This window comes from Homo sapiens, chromosome 9 (assembly GCF_000001405.40).
Source record: "Homo sapiens chromosome 9, GRCh38.p14 Primary Assembly".
Lineage (NCBI taxonomy): Eukaryota > Metazoa > Chordata > Mammalia > Primates > Hominidae > Homo > Homo sapiens.
The window spans coordinates 35,128,446-35,149,775 of NC_000009.12; the positions used below are offsets into that span (position 1 = coordinate 35,128,446).

Genomic DNA, 21,330 nt, shown 5'->3' on the forward strand with positions numbered 1-21,330 from the left:
TTTTCCTCTCTGGACTTTATGATGTAAATTTTGCTATTTAATTTTCACCTAAGTTGTTCTCTTTAATATGCAAATTTAAGGCTATTTAGCTGCCAACTACTTAGGGTTGTGAAACAGGTTATCAAAAATCTGCAAGTCTAAGATAGAAAAAAAGAGGGTCTTTATGAATCTATAAATATGTCTATGTATTTATGTGTCACATACACAATGTTTCACTACTAAAAATGTATAAAAGAGCTCTAATTAATTGGCTTAAAGAAAAATAAAAGTGCTTAAATCAAATGCATTATCAGGAAAAAAGAAAAGACTAATCAAATGCTTTTTCAAGTTTATGTAACTTAAATAAAATCTTTAATAAATAAGCTAGCTTTAACATTATTGGTAAAGTATGGCCGGGCTCGGTGGCTCATGCCTGTAATCCCAGCACTTTGGGAGGCAGAGGCGGGCGGATTATCTGAGGTCCACAGTTCGAGACCAGCCTGACAAACATGGAGAAACCCCATCTCTACTAAAAATACAAAATTAGCCGGGTGTGGTGGCGCATGCCTGTAATCCCAGCTAGTCAGGAGGCTGAGGCAGGAGAATGGCTTGAACCCGGAAGACGGAGGTTGCTGTGAGCTGAGATCGTGCCATTGCTCTCCAGCCTAGGCAACAAGAGCGAAACTCTGTTTCAAAAAAAAAAGAAAAAGAAAACATTATTGGTAGAGTAATATTAGAAATATCTTAAGAATGGCCAGGATACATTTTTGTTTGCATTTATGAATCAAGCAATTTCAAGCAAAACTTATCCCTGCCAAATACTATAAGATGTCAAAATTTGGCATAGGGGTTACAAAACTATAAACCCAGCTCAAAACAGAATGATCTATGTTTTTGCTTGTATAATTTTTAATAAAACATTAATATTGGTTTAATGACAATAACTACATCTTGAATTATTTAGTAAATTACCATAACTTCTAATCTTGTGCCTTTAGGCAGACTAGTCCGTGGGCCTTAAGGAGCTTTGTTTTGGGAAAGGACTGTTACTATCTTTGTTTCAAACCTAAACTATAAACTAACTTCCTCCCAAAGTCCGGGAATGAACAAGGACAGTTTGGAGATTAGAAGCAGGATGGAGTCAGCTAGGTCATATCTTTTTCACTGTCTCAGTTATAATTTTGCAATGGTGATTTCATAACTTTAAATCATGTCTATTGTAGTTTTCATAAATAATCTAAGTAAACAATTAAAATAATTAGGTGAATGTAATGGGCTGAATACTTGTAAACAAACTTGTCATAATTTAGAATCTTAAGTTATATTAAATTAAATAATAGGCCAGGTGCAGTGGCTCACGCTTGTAATCCCAGCACTCTGGGAGGCCAAGGTGAGTGGATCACCTGAGCTCAGGAGTTAGAGACCAGCCTGGCTAACATGGTGAAACCCCGTCTCTACTAAAAATACAAACAATTAGCCAGCGTGGTTGTGGACACCTGTAATCCCAGCTACTCGGGAGGCTGAGGCAGGAGAATCGCTTGAACCTGGGAGGCAGAGGTTGCAGTGAGCCGAGGTCGTGCCATTGCAGTCCAGCCTGGGCAACAAGAGTGAAACTCCATCTAAACAAAAAATAATTATATAATAGATATTTCATTATTTGGGTATTTTCCAATAAATATATATTGTAGGAAAACATTCTTGTTAAAAAAAAAAGTGTGTCCTTTTTAAAAAAGATGAATAAATTTTTGTCTAATTCAAAGCTTATTTAAAGGCTATGTATAGAACAAGGTAAAAGGAACCAGGAAATAAAAGAGATACAAAGAAAGTTATAAAAATAAAAAGGTGTTTTGTTTTTATTTTTGTTTTCGTTTTTTTTTTTTTTTGTAAGAAAGCTTAAAGATAAATGATTTCATATGAGAAAGAATCTTGTATGGTAAATTTAGTCCTAAAATAAAATGACTGGTTGTTTAAGGAGGGATGTTCAGGACAACCCAGAAAGTACAAGCATGTCATGAATAGTCAGTGTAAGTCACAATAAGAGGATTTATATTAAAAAAAAACACAAAAACTTTTATATGTTCAAGTTGTCATATTAAGTATTGATTTGCTTGGAAAAAAAAACCTAAGAAAAAAATTTTTTTAAAAAAATTAAGGTTATTACATCCATGTATCTTCCTGTATGTGTTTTTAAAGTCCTTGTGACATTGGGTTACAGGGCTTTGATTCCTGGGCCTAAAAAGGGCATTAAGTCCTGCTAAATCTTAAACACTGACAGCAATTAAAGCCTCATCTTCATGCCCTGTAGAAGATGCCAATCAAAATAAACTGCATTCCTAACACACAGGGTAAGAAATTAAGGCTATTCAACTCAAGGCCCAAGGACTATCACAGAAGAGGTGGGCACGTAAGATTCTAAGGGCCAATTTTGAAAGATAAAATAATTTCCGTTTCTCTATAAATTAATCATTAACATCAAAGGCACACTGATGCAAGACTAGTGTATGGGCCACTGTGTCAGATTAACAAGGTTTTCTTAAAGCATTAACTGACTCCTTAATAATGGTTAAAAGGTTATAAAAGGCTTATGGAAGCTATATCTTATGGTCAAAGTTAAAATTTTATAGATTGTTTACAAAACTTGGAAACACAAATTTAATTGGCTTCATTCAATTTTTTTTTTTTTTTTTTTGAGACGGAGTCTCGCTCTGTCGCCCAGGCTGAAGTGCAGTGGCGCGATCTCGGCTCACTGCAAGCTCCGCCTCCCGGGTTCACGCCATTCTCCTGCCTCAGCCTCCCGAGTAGCTGGGACTACAGGCGCCCGCTACCACGCCCGGCTAATTTTTTGTATTTTTAGTAGAGACGGGGTTTCACCGTGTTAGCCAGGATGGTCTCGATCTCCTGACCTCGTGATCCGCCCGCCTCGGCCTCCCAAAGTGCTGGGATTACAGGCGTGAGCCACCGCGCCCGGCCTCATTCAATTTTTTATTAGGGCTTATTGTTTGGAAAATTAAATCTCCTCTCTTGAAGAATGAACATTTTCAGCTTTAAAAAAAAAATCCTTGGGTTATCACTTTGGTTAATTGAATGACTTATGTTACAATAACTTGTAATCCTATTTTTTTTCTTTTATTATTATTATACTTGTTATCCTATTTTGTAATAGCAAGTGTTTAAAACCTTTGATATTTGATGCAGTTTCCAAAATCAAATTGTAAATTATGTTTTTTTCTGACCTAATTAATCCTTTAAGATATTAGTTCCCTAAAGTCTAAATATGACATAATTTGGCTTATTTGGTACAAAAATTATACAGGAAACATTGTCAAATATGAAAGGGTGTTTGGTTTTCTTTGGGCTGTATTTGTATAAATATGTTATTGATATGTGTTCCAAAATTATGGGAAAATCCCATAATTCTGATATAACTTAGTGTACATTATCAGTAATAATTATAATTATTATGTTGAATTATTATATGCCATGAGGTAACAAATTTCCTTGTCAATTCTGTTTTTGACAATGGCTGCCCAAAACCCTTCTGTCATTCATGGACAATTGTTGTCTTGTTTTGGTCCTCTTTAGAAGGTGTTTCTGTAATCAGCCACAGAACTCTAACAGGAGTTCTTAAATGCAGGTTTCTGATAACTTTGGAGATTGTGACATTAGAATAGAGGGAAAAAAACCTTTTAAGACTGTCATGGATGGAGATCTAAAATGTTAACGAATAGCAAGCAGAACACGAGTTAATTGCATAAACTGAACTGATAAAAAACTAATCTTTTTAACTTTTGCTTTAAATGTTGCTAATCCTTTGTTTTGTTTTTTAGAGACTTGGAACTTTTCTTTTGAGCTATTAACAGCTTTTAACAATTTAGTGTATTCCTGTGAACAAAATTTGGAGCATATATATTTCTCTCTACCTGATTTCTCCAGAATTTGGAAACTATTTGTGAGTATTCTTAACTTATGGCAATGCAGTTATTTGTATAAGTACAATAAGAATCTGTTTTCGGCCAGGCGCGGTGGCTCACACCTGTAATCCCAGCACTTTGGGAGGCCGAGATGGGCTATCACGAGGTCAGGAGATCGAGACCATCCTGGCTAACACGGTGAAACCCCGTCTCTATTAAAAGTACAAAAAAAATTAGCCGGGCATGGTGGCAGGCGCCTGTTGTCCCAGCTATTTGGGAGGCTGAGGCAGGAGAATGGCATGAACCTGGGAGGTGGAGCTTGCAATGAGCCAAGATCATGCCACGCAATCCAGCCTGGGTGATAGAGTGAGACTCCGTCTGAAAAAAAAAAAGAATCTGTTTTCATTTGTAACAGGATGCAATGGGAGGAACTGGTTATTTTACCAAGGCTTTGACTGGAATGGTATGCTTTCCTTTAAGGAATTAAACTTGACTTATGGAGCAAATAAAGCCCCATGGTGAAACTGGCCCTACACCTTCCCTATACAGGGTTCCTAACCTGCGGTAAGTAAACTTTGTCACTTTCTAACAGGCCAGGGAGCCCCAAGTTTATCTTGGAACCTCAAGAGGAGAGGATCACTGAACTCATAGGTATTTGATGGCACAAATCCATGGCTGGGCTCAGCTTCAAAAAAAGTCTTATCTGAGTTTCCTTCTACAAAACAAAGCTCCATCAAAGCCAATTAAAAAAAAACAAGCCTACGTGAAAAATAATTATTCTTGCTGCATTTTATACAAATAATCTGGCCAAGTATAATAAAGCAAATCAGTCCTATCATAATTTGTCCTTAGTAAAATTAGAAAATGAGAGAGAGAAAAATTATGTTTCAAAAACTATAATACATCTGTTGTTAGAGTCTAGTCTTGCCTGATGTTTTTCAATTTTTATAATTTTCTACAGTATGGGCTGAATTCTAATTTTTTCTTCAAAATTTCTACAAATCTTCAAAATAATGTTTTCAATTTTTCTTGTTTTTTCCTTCTTTTTTCCCCATTTTTTTTTTCTAATTTGGAGTCACTGAAAACTAAGCTGTGCTTTCTTAAAGCCCTGCAAACTGAAACTAGACAACTTAAACCTCAGAAGAAAATAACAACTGACTTACATACATAAGCCTGTTTCATATCTGCCTACTGATGTATAGACTTTAGAGTAATATGACCTATATTGATTTTGCACGATTGCTCTTTTTCTCCCTTTCTCTCCCTATTTTCTTTTCACAGGACATGAGGCTTCAAAACCTGCCAAAAATGAGCTTCTGGGATCTACCTGTCTAGAAATAAACTATCCTATCCAGAAGAAACCTAAGAGCAGATACTCATTTTCTTCTAAAATGCTTTCTCCAAAAGATTTTTGAAAAGTGGGGAAATGTGAAAGGAAAATATCTTGGGTGCCCAAAATCACTAAGCTAAAGGAAAAATTCTAGTTGGGAACTGCTCAGGGCAAATCCGCCTCCCGTTCTGTTCAAAGTCATCCCTCTGCTCACTGAAATAGATATGTATTCTGATCACCTCCTTTGGAAAGGCTCATCAGAAACTCAAAAGAATGCAACCGTTTTTCTCTCATCTGCCTGTGATCTGGAAGCCCTCTCCCTGCTTTGAGTTTTCCTCACCTTTCTGGACAGAACCAATGGACTTCTTACACATATTGATTGATATCTCATGTCTCCCTACAATATATAAAACCAAGCTGTGCCCTGACCACCTTGGGCACATGTCATCAGGACTTCCTCAGGCTCTGTCAGGGGCACATTATTATGTAGGTAGTTACATAACAAGAGAGGAAACAAATTTCAAAGTTATATAACAAGAGAGGAAACAAATTTATATAACAAGAGAGGAAACAATTTAAAAATTGATAACATTCCAAGCTGGGTGTGGTAGCTCATGCCTCTAAGGCCAAGGCAGGCAGATCACTTGAGGCCAGGACTTCAAGACTGGCCTGGTCAACATGGTGAAACCTGTCTCTACTAAAAATACAAAAATTAGCTGGCTGTGGTGTTGTACACCTGTGGTCCCAGCTACTGGGGAGGCCGAGGCAGGAGAATCACTTGAACCCAGGAGGCGGAGGTTGCAGTGAGCTGAGAACATGCCACTGCACTCTAGCCAGGGCAACAGAGTGAGTGAGACTCCGTTTCAAAAAAAAAAATTATATTCTGGATAGGGGAGTCAGGCAATAAATAAAAATGGATAAATGAGTAGATAACTCAGGGAGTGCCTTAATGAAAACAAGATAATGTGATAGAGAGTAATGGGGACCCAATTAGTTGGAATGGCCAGGGAGGGCATTACTGAGGAGGTACCTGTGAGTTTAACCTGAATGATAGGAGCCAGATGGCCAAAGATCTTGAGGCAAATTGTTGAAGCACTGGGAATAATAAGTGCAGAGATCTTAAAAGCAGGAACGGGGCCTGGTGCGGTGGCTCACGCCTGTAATCCCAGCACTTTGGGAGGCCAAGGTGGGTGGATAACAAGGTCAGGTGTTAGAGACCAGCCTGGCCAACGTGGGGAAACCCCGTCTCTACTAAAAATACAAAAATTAGCTGGGTGTGGTGGTGGGCACCTGTAATCCTAGCTACTCGGGAGACTGAGGCAGGAGAATTGCTTGAACCCAGGAGGTAGAGGTTGCAGTTTGCCGAGATTGCACCACTGCATTCCAGCCTGGGTGACAGAGCAAGACTCATTTTGGGGGAAAAAGAAAAGCAGGAATGGATTCATACTTTCGAGGAAAATAAATCATGTCAGTGTGGCTAGACCAAGATAAGAAGTGTGCTATAGGAAGACGACTGACAGCACCCAGGCAAACACGTCATGTTTGCCTCCTGCCTCTACCATGAGTTTGTGCTCAGTTTCCAAGGATAATCCATATCGTTTGCAAAGGGTTTTATCATTCATGCTTTCATATTGGCTATCTTTTTTTTTTTTTTTTTTAGAAACAGTGTCTCACTCTGTCACCCAGGCTGGAATGCAGAAGCACAATCATGGCTCACTGCAGCCTCGACCTCCTGGGCTGTAGCTGTCCTCCCACTTCAGCCTCCCAAGTAGCTGGTACTGAAGGCATGTACTACCACACCTAGCTAATTTACATTTTATTTTTGTATATGTGTATATATTTTTTGACAGCATCTCACTATGTTGCTGGTGCTGGTCTTAAACTCCTGGGTTCAAGCAACCCTCCTGCCTCAGCCTCCCAAAGTATTATGATTACAGGCAATAACATAATTTCTAATAGCTAAAGGCCACATCCTCAGGATAACCCTATCCCCTCTTAAAGTGCCTGCCTACAAAAACTCAAGGCCAGGAGTTGGAGACCAGCCTGGACAATATAGTGAGACCCTGTCTCTATTTATTTAAAAAAAATGTGGCTGGGTGTGGTGGCTCACATCTGTAATCCTAGCACTTTGGGAGGCCTAGGCAGGTGGATCACTTTAGGAGCTTCAGGAGTTTCAGACCAGCCTGGCCAACATGGTTAAACCCTGACTCTACTGAAAATACAAAAATTAGCCGGGTGTAATGGCACAGGCCTGTAACCCCAGCTACTCAGGGTACTGAGGCAGTAGAATCACTTGAACCCAGGAGGCAGAGGATGCAGTGAGCTGATATTTCTAGCTTCTTAACTTTACCAAAGGTAACCTCCTAGGTACTTACAGAAGGCAAAATTTGACAGTCCATGGAAGAGAAGAGAATAGACAAGGTCACACAGATATTAAACCAGAAACTACTTACTTCCTAGGTGGGGAATCGAACCCGGATCGCCACATGTGAAAGTGCAAAATCTTGACCACTGAGCTACATAAAGCGGCAGTGACCACTTTCTTTCCTAGAAGAAACCTACAGTAGTTAATTTTGAACTTGCAAAGGCTTTTAACTATTTAATATGATTTTTAGGGCTATGACATGAACCCTAAAATTCCTGTTCCCTGAAGGTGGAAACCAAAAGAAAGTATCGCCACGTGGTTAAAAGTTCAAGCTCCCAAGGACATAAAACGGTAAAGACTTCATCCAGTTTTTTTGTTTGTTTCAAAACTGCAGCTAAGAGTGTTACTGACCAGCTTGCTGGCTCATCTTGAAAAGTGGGCTTGCTTACAGGTATTTTAAGCCTGTGTTTTATCCTAAAGTACCCCTTGACACAGAAAAACAAATTTATAGCACAAAATACACCAGCTTAAGACTAGCCTTAGAATTCTTTTTTCCATTAATCAAAACTTTACAGAGGAGATAAACACTGATTCTTTTTTTTTTTTTTTTCTGAGATGGAGTCTTGCTTAGTTGCCCAGGCTGGAGTGCAATGGCACGATCTTGGCTCACTGCAACCTCTGCCTCCCAGGTTCAAGTGATTCTCCTGCCTCAGGCTCCTGAGTAGCTGGGATTACAGGCACGTGCCACGGTGCCCAGCTAATTGTTTGTATTTTCAGTAGAGACGGGGTTTCATTGTGTTAGGGAGGAAGGTCTCGATCTCCTGACCTTGTGATCCATCCACCTCGGCCTCCCAAATTGCTGGGATTACAGGTGTGAGCCACCGCACCCACCCCCCATTTTTTTTTTAACCATTCATTCAACAGTCTGCACAGAGAGAAAAGCCAGAAATCTGACTGTTAAGAAATTCTTACCCTTTTGCCGGCACGCCAGGCTTCTGGATTCCCTTTCCCTGAGCGGCCTTAGTGATTTAGCTTGCGACACCATTGCCCTGGGGCCAAGCTGCATCACAAAGGAAATTTTCTTTTTTTTTCCAATCTGGCTAGAGCAAAACACGAGTGATAAAACATAGACATTGGCCACTCTGCTTAGCACCCAATATCAAACTGGCAAGGCTTAAGGTTCCCCCTAGATGGGCCCCATCATCTTTAATCCAATTCCCGACTTGGAGTTTCAACACGTGGTCTCTGGGCAAGATGGTTGCCCTGAGTAACAGAAAAGATAAGAAAGGGAAAGGAGAGAGAGAAAGGCTTTGTCGGTGGCAGGGTGTGGGTAAGGTGAAATGCTCAGGGAGGCCAGAGAAAGACCCACCCACTGCAGCAACACTGAAAAGTTCAGGTGGCTGTGGCTGCTGTTGTGAAGGAGAGGAAAAAGCTCCACATGTCCCACAATCCTGTACATGCCTAACTCTGTCACCTACAGCCATCAGCAAAAAGTGCAAGGCAGATTAATCCAAAGAGAATAGCAGTTAACATCCCATAGTGCTGAGAGGGACTTTACCGAGAGGGGCCTCTAACCCCTTAAATCTTAGAAGGGACTCTAACTCTCCTAAGTCGGGCTTCTAACCCGAGGTTGGTCAAGCATCCTTGCCTTTTATTAAGAGGATCCTCTAACTCACTCTGTCCTAGAAGAGACCCTAATTCCTCTAAGTTGAGCCTCTAACTCAAACCTATTCTTTACCCTGGTACCCCACCACTTACCCAAAGTCGTCCAATCAGTGTTGCAGTCTATTTCCTTTGGATCAGGGGTCTCCTCAATATTGTCCCTTTTGTGGTTCACGAGAAAGCTGTCACAGGACGCCAACACTTACCCAAAGGTAGCCGTTGGGTCAGGGTTTCTGCACTATAGTCCCCTCTGTGGTCACCAGAAATATGTTACAGGAAAGGGGTTCTGATCCAGACCCCAAGAGAGCAAGAAAGGGTTCTTGGATCTCTCGCAAGAAAGAGTTCAGGGCAAGTATGCAGTGCAAAGTGAAAGCAAGTTTATTAAGAAAGTAAAGGAATTAAAGAATGGCTACTCCATAGACAGAGCAGCATTTTTTTTTTTTTTTTTTGAGACAGGGTCTTGCTCTGTCACCCAGGCTGGAGTGCAGTGGCATGATCACAGTTCACTGTATTCTCAACTTCCTGGGCTCAAGCATCCTCCTGCCTCACCATCCTTGGTAGCAGGTGATGGCAATGGCTGGTGCCATCATGCTGGCTGCAGCAGGGAAGTGCAGCGGCTGGGGCTGCACACTGTGGAGCCACAGTGGGAGCCCTGCCTCTTCTTTTTTTTTTTTTTTTTTTTTTTTTGAGACAGAGTTTCCCTTTGTCGCCAAGGCTGGAGTGCAGTGGCCCGATCTGAGCTCACTGCAACCTCCGCCTCCCGGGCTCAAGCGATTTTCCCGCCTCATCCTCCTGAGTAGCTGGGACTACAGGTGCATGCCACCACGCCTAGCTAATTTTTTGTATTTTTAGTAGAGACGGGGTTTCACTGTGTTAGCCAGGATGGTCTCGATCTCCTGACCTCGTGATCCATCTGCCTCGGCCTCCCAAAGTGCTGGGATTACAGGCGTGAGCCACTGCGCCCAGCCACCCTGCCCCTTCTGAGTTGGGATGGGATCTCCCTGATCTGCTGTAGCTGCCCAAACCACAGCTGCAGAGCCAGGCCTCCTGTTCTATGGAGCAGGCAGGAGCCATGCCCTTCTGGGCGGGGCTACAGCCACCCAAACTGCAGCTGTGGATCCGAGCCTCCCTGTGCTCTTGCGGGAGGCGGGAACAGGCAGGATCTGCCCTACCTGGTGCAGCTGTAGCCATTGCACCCGGGGCTGCAGACCTGGGCCTCCTGTTCCAGGAAGCAGGCATGAGCTGGCGACTAGTGGGAGCCCCGCCCCTTCCAGGTTGGCAGGGCAGGAGCTCCTGGTGTGGGTGTTGCTGCCCTCCCAGGCAGAGGACCTGGGTGTCTCTGTAGTCTGCATCCTCGGGGGCCCCAGGAAGGACCCCCATCCTTGTGGGTTCAGGGGTTTCTGCTCCCATTTCCTGGCCTCTCTCCCCTCCTGGCTCCTGCTCCCATCTTGGAGTGGGGGTTGGGGTCGAGCCCTGGGGCCATGAATGGCAGTGGGAAGCAGATTGATTCCTGAGTGGAAGGGGATGGGTCCCCAGTAAGGCCCTACCTTCAGACCAGGGAGGACCCGAAAACGGGGCCGTGCCGCCAGTCCCACAGACCAGAGTGGAGGCACGTGGTGCCATTTCTGGGCCACCCGTGGCTGCTCATGGTCACCTGTGGACCAATTGGCAGGCATTTCCTCCTCTCTGAGATCCATAAAAGCCCTGGGCTCAGACAGAGCAGGGCAGAGGACTGCCAGAGGACAAAGAGGGCAGAGAGACAATAGGATGGGAGGACCTGCTGCAGTGAGGAGCTACTGTCTCTGCTGAGAACTTCAGAGACTGAGAGACATCCAAATGACTTGCCTGCAAAGAGGAGCCACCTGTTCCAGGGCCTCACCTCTGCTGAGAGCTGAACACTCGTCAGGACGACCTGCCTATAGAGAGGAGCTACTCACTCCTCTGAGCTGTTCCAACACTAAATAAAACTCTTCTTCTTCACCCTTCACTTATCTGTGTACCTCATTCTTTCTGTATGCAGGACAAGAACTCAGGCAAAGACACCACAGCCAAAGAGGTTTCCAGCCAGAAGAATTGACACCCTAGAGATTCTGTAAAATTTTGGGGGCTGTCTGGGGTCTGCAGAAGGGTGAAAAAAAGCAAATCTTTCTGTTCTTTTTTTCGGAGTCTCTAAACTCCACAATAGTCAAAATGAAAGAAAAATACCGGGCCTCTGCTAGCCAGTTAAAAGTGACTAGTGTGGCTGGTGGAGGACAGGCTTGCTGGGGAGGACAGTGTCAATCCCCATTCACCCTCGGTTGTGGGAATGTTGGCTTTCATTCCAACATAGTTTCCCTTCACAGAGGTCTAGCTGTTGCGTGGGACCAGAAGGAGGCCGTGGGGTAACTGAGGGTATCTGGCTGAGGCTACACCTCGGTGTTATCCAAATGCCCCTGGACTGACTCCAGTCCCTGACCACCCATTAGGGTGTTGGCAGTAGGACCTCCAGTCTTTCCTATCATTCTTTCTTTCTTTGGGGTTTCCTCTCTTATACACAATGTTAAATGTTAAAAATGTTGCAAACCAGAAATATTACTGGGCAGAATGAGCATTTTGCTTAGTCATCAAAAGTATAAAGTGGAAGGTTTAGAGTAGCACAGATGAAGCAAAGTGTGCCTTCGTATCTGTAAGTAAATTTGTGGTGAAAATGTTCTTGTAATTTACTTGGTTGCCAACTTAGCACCTTGAGGCACAGAAAAGAACCATTGCCTTAGGAAGGAAGCTTTTCTGTAAACATGAGGGCAAATGGTCCAAGGTCCCTTATGTGCAGGCCTTCTTTCCTTTGCAGACCATTACCAACATTGTAGCATTGATTCAGCCCTCCTAGTGGCCATCTTAGGAGAGACTTCAAGGGGTAATCCCAGAGAACTGGGGAAGAAAACCCCAAAGTTACCACCAGCAGGGGAATCAATCCCCTCCACTCCTTCTCTCAAGCTTATCCCAGCCTAGGAATCTTGGTTTTAGGCAGGTCCCAGTCTCAACTGCCCCTACAACAGATGCCTGGTGAATATGGCCCCATTAAGATCCAAGTCCCCCTTTCTCTTCAGGGCTTATTGCAAATTAAGGGGGATCTTGGCAGGTTTTCAGATGGCCCTTAAGGTTATATATAGGCCTTCCAGAGCTTAACCCAAGTATTTGAGCTCTCCTGGAAGGATCACCATGTTACTTTTCAATCAAACCCTGACCAATGCTGCAAAGCAGGCCATTCTTGGCAAGTGGCAAAAAATTTTGGGAATGAGCTTTACATCTTGCATAGGGCCAGGGAAGGGGAGGAGCCTTATCTAGTTGGAAGAATAGCACTAACATTGGAGGACCCTAAATGGGACCCCAATGATGAAATGGGAGAATGGAGGAAGAAACTCTTTCAGGCGTGCATACTTGTGGGCTTGCCTGGGAATGGGCCTAGGCCTTTCAATTGCAGTGGACTATCCATGGTAGATCAAGAATTGGGTGGGAGTCCCACTGCCTCCCTAGAAAGGCTAAGAGGGGTCTTGGTAAAACACACCTATCTCTTGATTCAATAGGGTGACAGCTGGTCCTAGGGGATGAGTTTATTACTTAGTCAGCCCCTGATATCAGGAGGAAACTGCAGAAAAGTCCATAAGACCGGGTAATACTTTAGAGGACCTCCTGAAAGTGGCCACCTTGGTCTTTTACAACAGAGATCAGGAAGCCCGAGAGCAAGGAGACACAAGAAAAAGGCAAAGGCTCTAATAGCCACCTTGCACAAACCTCAGAATTCCTAAGCTGTACCTGTTGGCTGCTGTAAATGCAAACCATTGGAGGGCTAGCTGTCCCTGAGACATGGGCTGCCAGGTCCAGGGCCGGTCTCCCAAATGGTACAGTAGGGCTGATGGGTCCCAGGGTTCCTTTCCCTGACTTTGGTGATTCAGACTGCTATTGCCATCCTGGAGCCTCGGGTGATTTAGGGGATCGAGAGAAGGAGGATGGGCTTCCTCCTGGACTTGAGTGGGCCATTCAGGTCTCTTCTCCAATCTAGGCCCCTTCTCCAATATAGACCCCCTCCTCTGTTAGCATGACTGTGAGGGTCATCTCAGGAAAAGCCCAGCCTCTTAATTGTCGCCTTCTTAGGCTAGGTCCCCAATTCCTGGGACTCCCTTTATCTCCCTTGTTTCAGGAGGACCTGGCCCCACAGCTTCACCTGCTGTTGATAGGCAGGCAACAGAGGAGCAGCTCCTGGCAGTTGCTAGCTGCAATTTGGTGAGGACCATCTGGGACTAATTTAAAGGATTCATCCACCCTCCTTTTTTGGCACCTTTTTGTCCCAAGCTTCAGTTTGAAACCCTGGAATGGAATACTAGACCTGAGGTAGATGACAGTGGGAGTTGAGGGGCACAGTGCAGGTGAGTATGACTAATTCCCGCTAATTAGGTCCTCCCGTTTCATGGATGGAGGTCATGCTCGCATCCATGGCATAGATAAGGTCCAGGGAACTCAAAGGTTACTGACAGTGGAAGGCTTAGGCTCTGCTCAGGTGAGTGTGAATATTCCTGTTGGCTATGCCTCCCACTTCATGGATGAAGGTCACACTTGCACCCATGGTTGGGACTTGAACAGGTTGCCAGGACTCAGGTATATAAGCTTGAAAAAAGAAAGAGGAATGCCTTTTCTGCTCTGTGTCACGTACCCCGGGTATTCACTGGGAAGAGAGAGGAACAAAGGATGCCTTTTTCCCCTCTTTCCAGATGGGTAACCAACCAATCATTTTCAGCCTGCACTCCGTGGGCACATCCTAAATCACTGAACAGGACTTTAGAGTCAGTAGGGCTCCATGGCTTGGGGGAAGGGAACCCAGAAGTCTGAATGCCAGCAAAAGGGTAAAAATTCTTACCAGTTGGACTTCTGGCTTCTCTGTGGGCAAACTGGTTGCAGGAATGATAAAAATCACTATATTCTCTACCCCTCCATGAGTTCAAAAGCCAGAAGTGTTGGCCTTTGTGGCATGGCTGAAGTTGGGTAATAAGAGACTTAGGACTTCTTAAGAAAGGAGTGTTAGTTAAGTCAGCTTAATTAAAAGTCAGCTTAATTAAAAGTAGATGTCCATGGATATCCAAGCTATAGGTATATGTAAAAGGCCTTTATGTCTTTTCCCTTCGTGGATCTTGTTTTTGGGAAAAGGTTTTTTCTTCTCAGTCAACTGAATTCTCCATTTGTGTCTTGCCACTCTTTATGTGCAACATGAGGGGCCCCAACTTAACCTCAGATGGCCTAGGACTCCTTGGGAAAATGGAGGAGGTGCCACTGACCTGTTTTTGGGAAAAACCTCTGTTTTCCTGATAGAGCCTCAGAGATTAGAGGTGGATGGATCCCTCTCAATTTTTTTTTTTAATCTTCCAGCTATGCCTACTTATTAGACCACAGAAACTATGTTTTCCTGGCCCTGGTTCTTGAAGGGCTCCACCCCAGGGCCAGCAATGCAATTAAGAGATTGGCACATGAGGCCGGCCGCGGTGGCTTACGCCTGTAATCCCAGCACTTTTGGAGGCCGTGGTGGGTGGATCATGAGGTCAGGAGATCAAGACCATCCTGGCTAACATGGTGAAACCCCGTCTCTACTAAAAATACAAAAAAATTAGCCGGGCATGGTGGTGGGTGCCTGTAGTCCCAGCTACTAGGGAGGCTGATGCAGAAGAATGGCGTGAACCTGGGAGGCGGAGCTTGCAGTGAGCTGAGATCATGCCACTGCACTCCGACCTGGGTGACAGAGCGAGACTCCATCTCAAAAAAACAAAACAAAACAAAACAAAACAGATTGGCACATGAAAAATCTTACAACTACTGGATCTCCGTTTGTGTAGATATATATATGTCATGTGTGATGTTTACATAAAAGAGCTCTAACTGATTGGCTTAAAGAAAAATAGCACTGTTGGGCACGATGGTTCATGCCTGTAATCCCAGCACTTTGGGAGGCTGAGGCGGGCAGATCACTTGAGGTCAGGAGTTTGAGACCAGCCTGGCCAATGTGGTGAAACCCTGTCTCTACTAAAAATACAAAAAATTAGCCGGGTATGGTGGCTCGCACCTGTAGTCCCAGCTACACGGGAGGCTGAGGCATGAGAATCACTTGAACCCAGGAGGCAGAGGTTGCAGTGAGCCAAGATCATGCCACTGCACTCCAGCTTGGGTGACAAAGTGAGACTCCATCTCAAAAAAAAAAAAAAAGAAAAGAAAAAGAAAAAAGAAAAATAGTGCTTAGGCTTGGTACAGTGGCTCATGCCTATAATCCCAACACTTTGGGAGGCTGAGGTGAGTGAATCACCTGAGGTCAGGAGTTTGAGACCAGCCTGGCCAACATGGTGAAACCCCGTCTCTACTAAAGATACAAAAAATTAGCTAGGTGTGGTGGCTTGTGCCTGTAGCCCCAGCTACTTGGGAGGCTGAGACACAAGAATCACTTGAATCCAGGAGGCAGAGGTTGCAGTGAGCCGAGACTGTGCCACTGCACTCCACCCTGGGTGACAGAGTGAGACTCTGTTTCAAAAAATAAAAAAATGAAAGAAAAATAGCACTTAGATCAAATATTTTGAAAGAATAGTAAAGCTGTAATGCCTTTTAGTTCATGGCTATCACTCTAGTGGAATGGAAAGCATGGGAAAGTGTGGCCTTGTAAGGCTCATAGTTAGGCCATTGCCTTTGGGGGGAAAACATAAAGTGGCACCGGTGCCCACCTAAGGTCAGAGATATCTGACACTCCAAGATTGGATCCCAAAGGGGGACGCCCCACGGGATCCTCCAGACATCGCCCTCTCCAAAGAGGATGCCCTTGGCAAAGATTCTGAGGTCTAGTACTGAACCCTCCTTAGACTTTTCTCTCACAGTTGCAATACTGCTTGGCCCCCAGTATTGTATGGAATCTGAAGGTTACTGTTGAATGGGAAAGTGGGATGGCATTACATGTATACAGGCTTTTGTGCTGTTGTTCTAAGCAGGGGGCCTGGTTAATGTGTGATGTTCTCCTTTGGTGCTCTTTGGTCCAAGTATTCTTTGGAGTCTGGGGAGGTTTGGCCTTTACATCAAATTACCATGGAAACTGCTTTACCCGAAATTTTGGTTCACAGCCTTCATTGGATTATCTACGAGGGCAAACAAAGTAAAACTTGTGAGCTTGTATTGCTATCTCATGGCTAGGGTTCCATGGATCCAAACTAAGCTATTGGATCTTAGTTTGTGTGTGTAAATACAGGTCTAGGTGTGTTTATTTGTATGTACACTTATAAGCATATAAGTAAAAGAGAGCTCATAAATTAGAGAAGTCCTTCAAAATTGTCAGCATACATTTTTTCTAGATTTTATATTTGTCTACCATTATAATATGTAATGGAGACTACTGAAAATAGATTTTCATGCAAGGCATAAGCAAAGTAACATGTGTCTTTAGTAAAAAAATATAAGAAGGCATGCGAACGTAAATTTTTGCCTAGTTTAAAGGGTTAAAGAATTGTTTAAGTTAGATAAGATAAAGCTAAAAGTTCAAACAAGTTATAGAAGGTTTATAAAAATTAATCTTGTAAAAGGAATCTTGTATGTGAACACATTGACTAAATTCAAAGGGGTATTATTTGGTTTCTCCATAAATTGAACACTGGAATAAAAGCACATGGTTTTCTTGAAGCACTGACATGCTCTTTATTATTTATTTATTTATTTATTTTTAAAAGTATTTATTCAGGACTCAAAAATGTGTAAATTTTGTTTATACTTGAATATAATTTTTATTATTATAAAAATAAACCTGTAGTCAATAACAATTTAATTATACATTTGAAATTATCTAAAACTGTAGAACTGAATTGTTCATTATACAAAAAATAAATTCTAGAGGTGATGGATACATCATTTATCCTAATGTGATTATTAGTATAAATTATATATTGTATGCCTCTCTATCAGAATATGCCATATATAACATAAATATTATGTGCCCTCAAAAAAACATTAACAAAAGTAAATTTAAATGGGAAAAAAATAAAAATTTTACCTACAGAAACAATATTCCTTAACTTATTTGCAGTTTAAAGCCACTGGCAAAAAAGATTACTAGAGACGTTAGTCCATTATTTTACCAAATAGTGTACTGTTACCATCTTTTACCTACACCCTTAAGTAAGGTGGACTAGGTTAAATTAAGTGGAATAATGTGACTTGATTGAATGCACAATATTTAACATGTTAAAAATGTTGAATTAAGAAATTTTCACACATAATATAAAATTTTTAACATGTATTGCATTTTGTTTCATAAAAGTACAATTAGTAAAATAATATCTTATTTTAATTTTAACTAAAACTAAAAATATTTGTCTCAATATAATGCAGAATATTACTCTGAATACCTACCTCATGCATCACTCAATACTGTAAGTGAACCACAAAGAACCTCTTAAGATTTTCATCATGCATCTTACATTTTAATGTCATTACTCTTTCATAGAAGAGGTCATAAATACTCACCTAAAAAAAAAACCTCTCATATCTTTGATGCAGCAACAATTGGTCATACGCTTTCACAGATGAATATAATAGGAATAGAGAAACAGCATGGGCTGGGCCCAGTGGCTAACACCTATAATCCCAGCATTTTGGGAGGCCAAGCTGGGTGGATCACCTGAGGTCACGAGTTTGAGACCCGCCTGGCCAACATGGCAAAACCCCAGCTCTACTAAAAATATAAAACTTAGCTGGGTGTGGTGGTGTGTGCCTGTAATCCCAGCTACTCAGGAGGCTGAGGCAGGAGAATCACTTGAACACTGGAGACGGAGGTTGCAGTGAGCCGAGAAAGCACCACTGCACTCCAGCCTGGGCGACAGAGTGGGGTTCTGTCTTAAAAGAAAAAAAAAATGAAATTAATTAATTTATTTAGCATGAAGTAATTTGAGTTAATTACAACATTATTTACATGAAGTAATTTGAGAGTTAATTACATTACTTTTTTAAAAATCTGTAAGCTTTCCAAAAAAAGTATACTTGTAATGTAATTATAACTCTCCAAAAAATCTTCTACCCTTTTAAAGCTATATACAAATAATTTTTCTACCAACTTTAGTTTTGGATTATTTTCTAAACTCAGAACTCTGATTTAGTGTAAAATCTGAAGTGTCAGTGCCTTATATATTTCTAATGTAAATTCTCTGATATTTACATAGACTTAATTTTGGATTAAATTTTTTTTCCTATTTACTGCATATGCAAAAATATATTTTACTATGAACTCTCTGGAGTTTTCTAACCTGTAGTTTTTGAATAAATGTTTTTTTCTAAATTTATTACATTTACAGGGTTTTTCTTCGATATAAATTCTCTGATGTTGAACAAAGTTTGAGTAATTGCTTCAGGGTTTGCCTCTAGTACAAAGTGAATACAACAAGATCTGTGTTACAAGTAAAGTTACTAAAACTGTCTTTATATTTGTAATGTTTGTCTTCAAAATAAATCCTCTTCAGCACTTTAAAGGCTTACATTTTCTCAAGAGTCTTTTGACAGTAATTGCACTTTTAATGCTATTAAGTATAAACTCTCTGATGTTGAATAAGATGTGCGCAGATATTAATCACTTTTTTACTTTCTTTATATTTGTACATTTGTTCTCAAGTATAAAGGGTTTCCTGTGCAATAAGGTGTGAGCATTGTTTAAGTCTTGCCACACTGTTCACACTTGTAGAAGTTTTCTCCAGTATGAATTACCTTACCTACAAGCAAGTGTGATAACCATTTAAAGGCTTTGTCACATTATTCATATTTCTATGTTTTCTCACCAGCACAATTTCTTTTATGTTTGGAAATGTTTGAGATGTTGTCACAAGCATTGTTACAACTTTCAAGTTTGTAGAGTTTCTCTCCCGTATGAATCATCTTATGTCTGTTAAGAATAGAGGAGTTGTTAAAGGCTTTGCCACATTCTTCGCACTTGTAGGGTTTCTCACCAGTATGAATTATCTTATGTGTAGTAAGGTGTGAGGACTGGTTAAAGGCTTTGCCACATTCTCCACATTTGTAGGGTTTCTCTCCAGTATGAATAACCTTGTGTTTAGAAAGAGTTGAGGACTGGTTAAAAGCTTTGCCACATTCTTCACATTTGTAGGGTTTCTCTCCAGTATGAATTATCTTATGTGTAGTAAGGTGTGAGGATAGGTTAAAAGCTTTGCCACATTCTTCACATTTGTAGGGCTTCTCTCCAGTATGAATTCTCTTATGTGTAGTAAGGTGTGAGAACCGGCTAAAGGCTTTGCTACATACTTCACATTTGTAGAATTTCTCTCCAGAATGAATTCTCTTATGTGTAGTAAGGGTTGAGGATTGTTTAAAAGCTTTGCCACATTCTTCACATTTGTAGGGTTTCTCTCCAGAATGAATTCTCTTACGTGTAGTAAGGTGTGAGAACTGGCTAAAGGCTTTGCCACGTTCTTCACATTTGTAGAATTTCTCTCCAGTATGAATTATCTTATGTGTAGTACTGAGGATTGGTTAAAAGATTTGCCACATTCTTCACATTTGTAGGGTTTCTCTCCAGCATGAATTATCTTATGTGTAGTGAGGGTTGAGGACTGGCTAAAAGCTTTGCCACATTCTTCACATTTGTAGGGTTTCTCTCCAGTATGAATTCTCTTATGTGTAGTAAGGTTTGCAGATTGGTTAAAAGCTTTGCCACAGTCCTCACATTTGTAGGGTTTCTTTCCGGTATGAATTATTTTTTGTGTAGTAAGATGTGAAAGCCAGTTAAAGGCTTTTCCACAATCTTCGCATTTGTAGGGTTTCTTTCCAGTATGAATTCTTTTATGTGTAGAAAGGTTTGAGGCCTCATTATAGGCTTTCCCACATTCTTTACATTTGTAGGGTTTCTCTCCACTATGAATTCTTTTATGTTGAGCTGAGTGTGAAAGCATGAAAAATGACTTTTCGCATTCTTTACATTTGAAAGGTTTCTTTCCAGTATGTCTTATCTTATATCTGTTTGAATTTGAAAATTTATGAAAGACTTTCACATATTTGTCACATTGTAATATTTTGCTCTGGGTAGTTCTCGAACACTGGTTAAATCCATTGCAACATTCTTCATGCACCTTACACTCATCCATGCTTTTACGGTATTTTCCTAACTGTAAATTTTCATGTCCACATTTTTTATATCTTCTCAGTATCACTTTTTGGAAACAATTTTTTATGCCCTGGTTTGGCCAAAGGTCTTGGGCAAAATAAGAACATACAACTGGGGGTTCAGCTACCATCTCATGTCTCTTCACATTCCAAGGTTCTTTTCCTTGCTCCAGACAGGTGATCAGGTCTGGCTTAGAGGCAGCAATACCCAGGAAGACCAGGTTTCTGTAGTTCTCTAACATCACATTCCTATATAAATTCTGCTGTGCAGTGTCCAGACAATGCCACTCCTCCAGAGAGAATTCTATGGCCACATCCCTAAATGTCAACACTCCCATTTCTAGGCTTCCAGGGGGTCCTAGCGTCTCAGCTGTGGATCTCCCAATACCTGCAGGTCACAGGGCCACAGAGGATGGGCCTCTAGGAGCAGAGGACGCAGAACAGTGAAGACTCACTGACATGCTCTTTAACAAAAATTTGTAGGCCAGGCACAGTGGCTCATGGCTGTAATTCCAGCACTTTGGGAGGCCAAGGCAGGTGGATCGGGAGGTCAAGAGATTGAGACCATCCTGGACAACATGGTGAAACCCCTCTCTACTAAAAATACAAAAATTAGCTGGGCATGGTGGCAAGTGCCTGTAGTCCCAGCTACTAGGGAGGCTGAGGTAGGAGAATTGCTTGAACCTGGGAGGTGGAGGTTGCAGTGAGCCGAGATCAGGCCATTGCACTCTAGCCTGGTGATGGAGCGAGACCCCATCTCAAAAAAAAAAAAAAAAAAAAAGTAGAGTATTGCAAGGGTGAAATTTGAAATTTGGCTTTCTCTCTCTTGAAAAAGATTTCTGTTTGCCTCATGAATAAACTATCGAAAAAATAGGGGAAGGACAAGGGACAGATTGTTTGGAAAACTACATCTTCACACTTGATGAGTG

The 21,330-nt window shown here is 41.8% G+C and overlaps 1 pseudogene; it reads right to left on the reverse strand.

The window, feature by feature from the left end:
• LOC730110 (zinc finger protein 492 pseudogene) lies at positions 16,987–20,853 on the reverse strand (annotated as a pseudogene).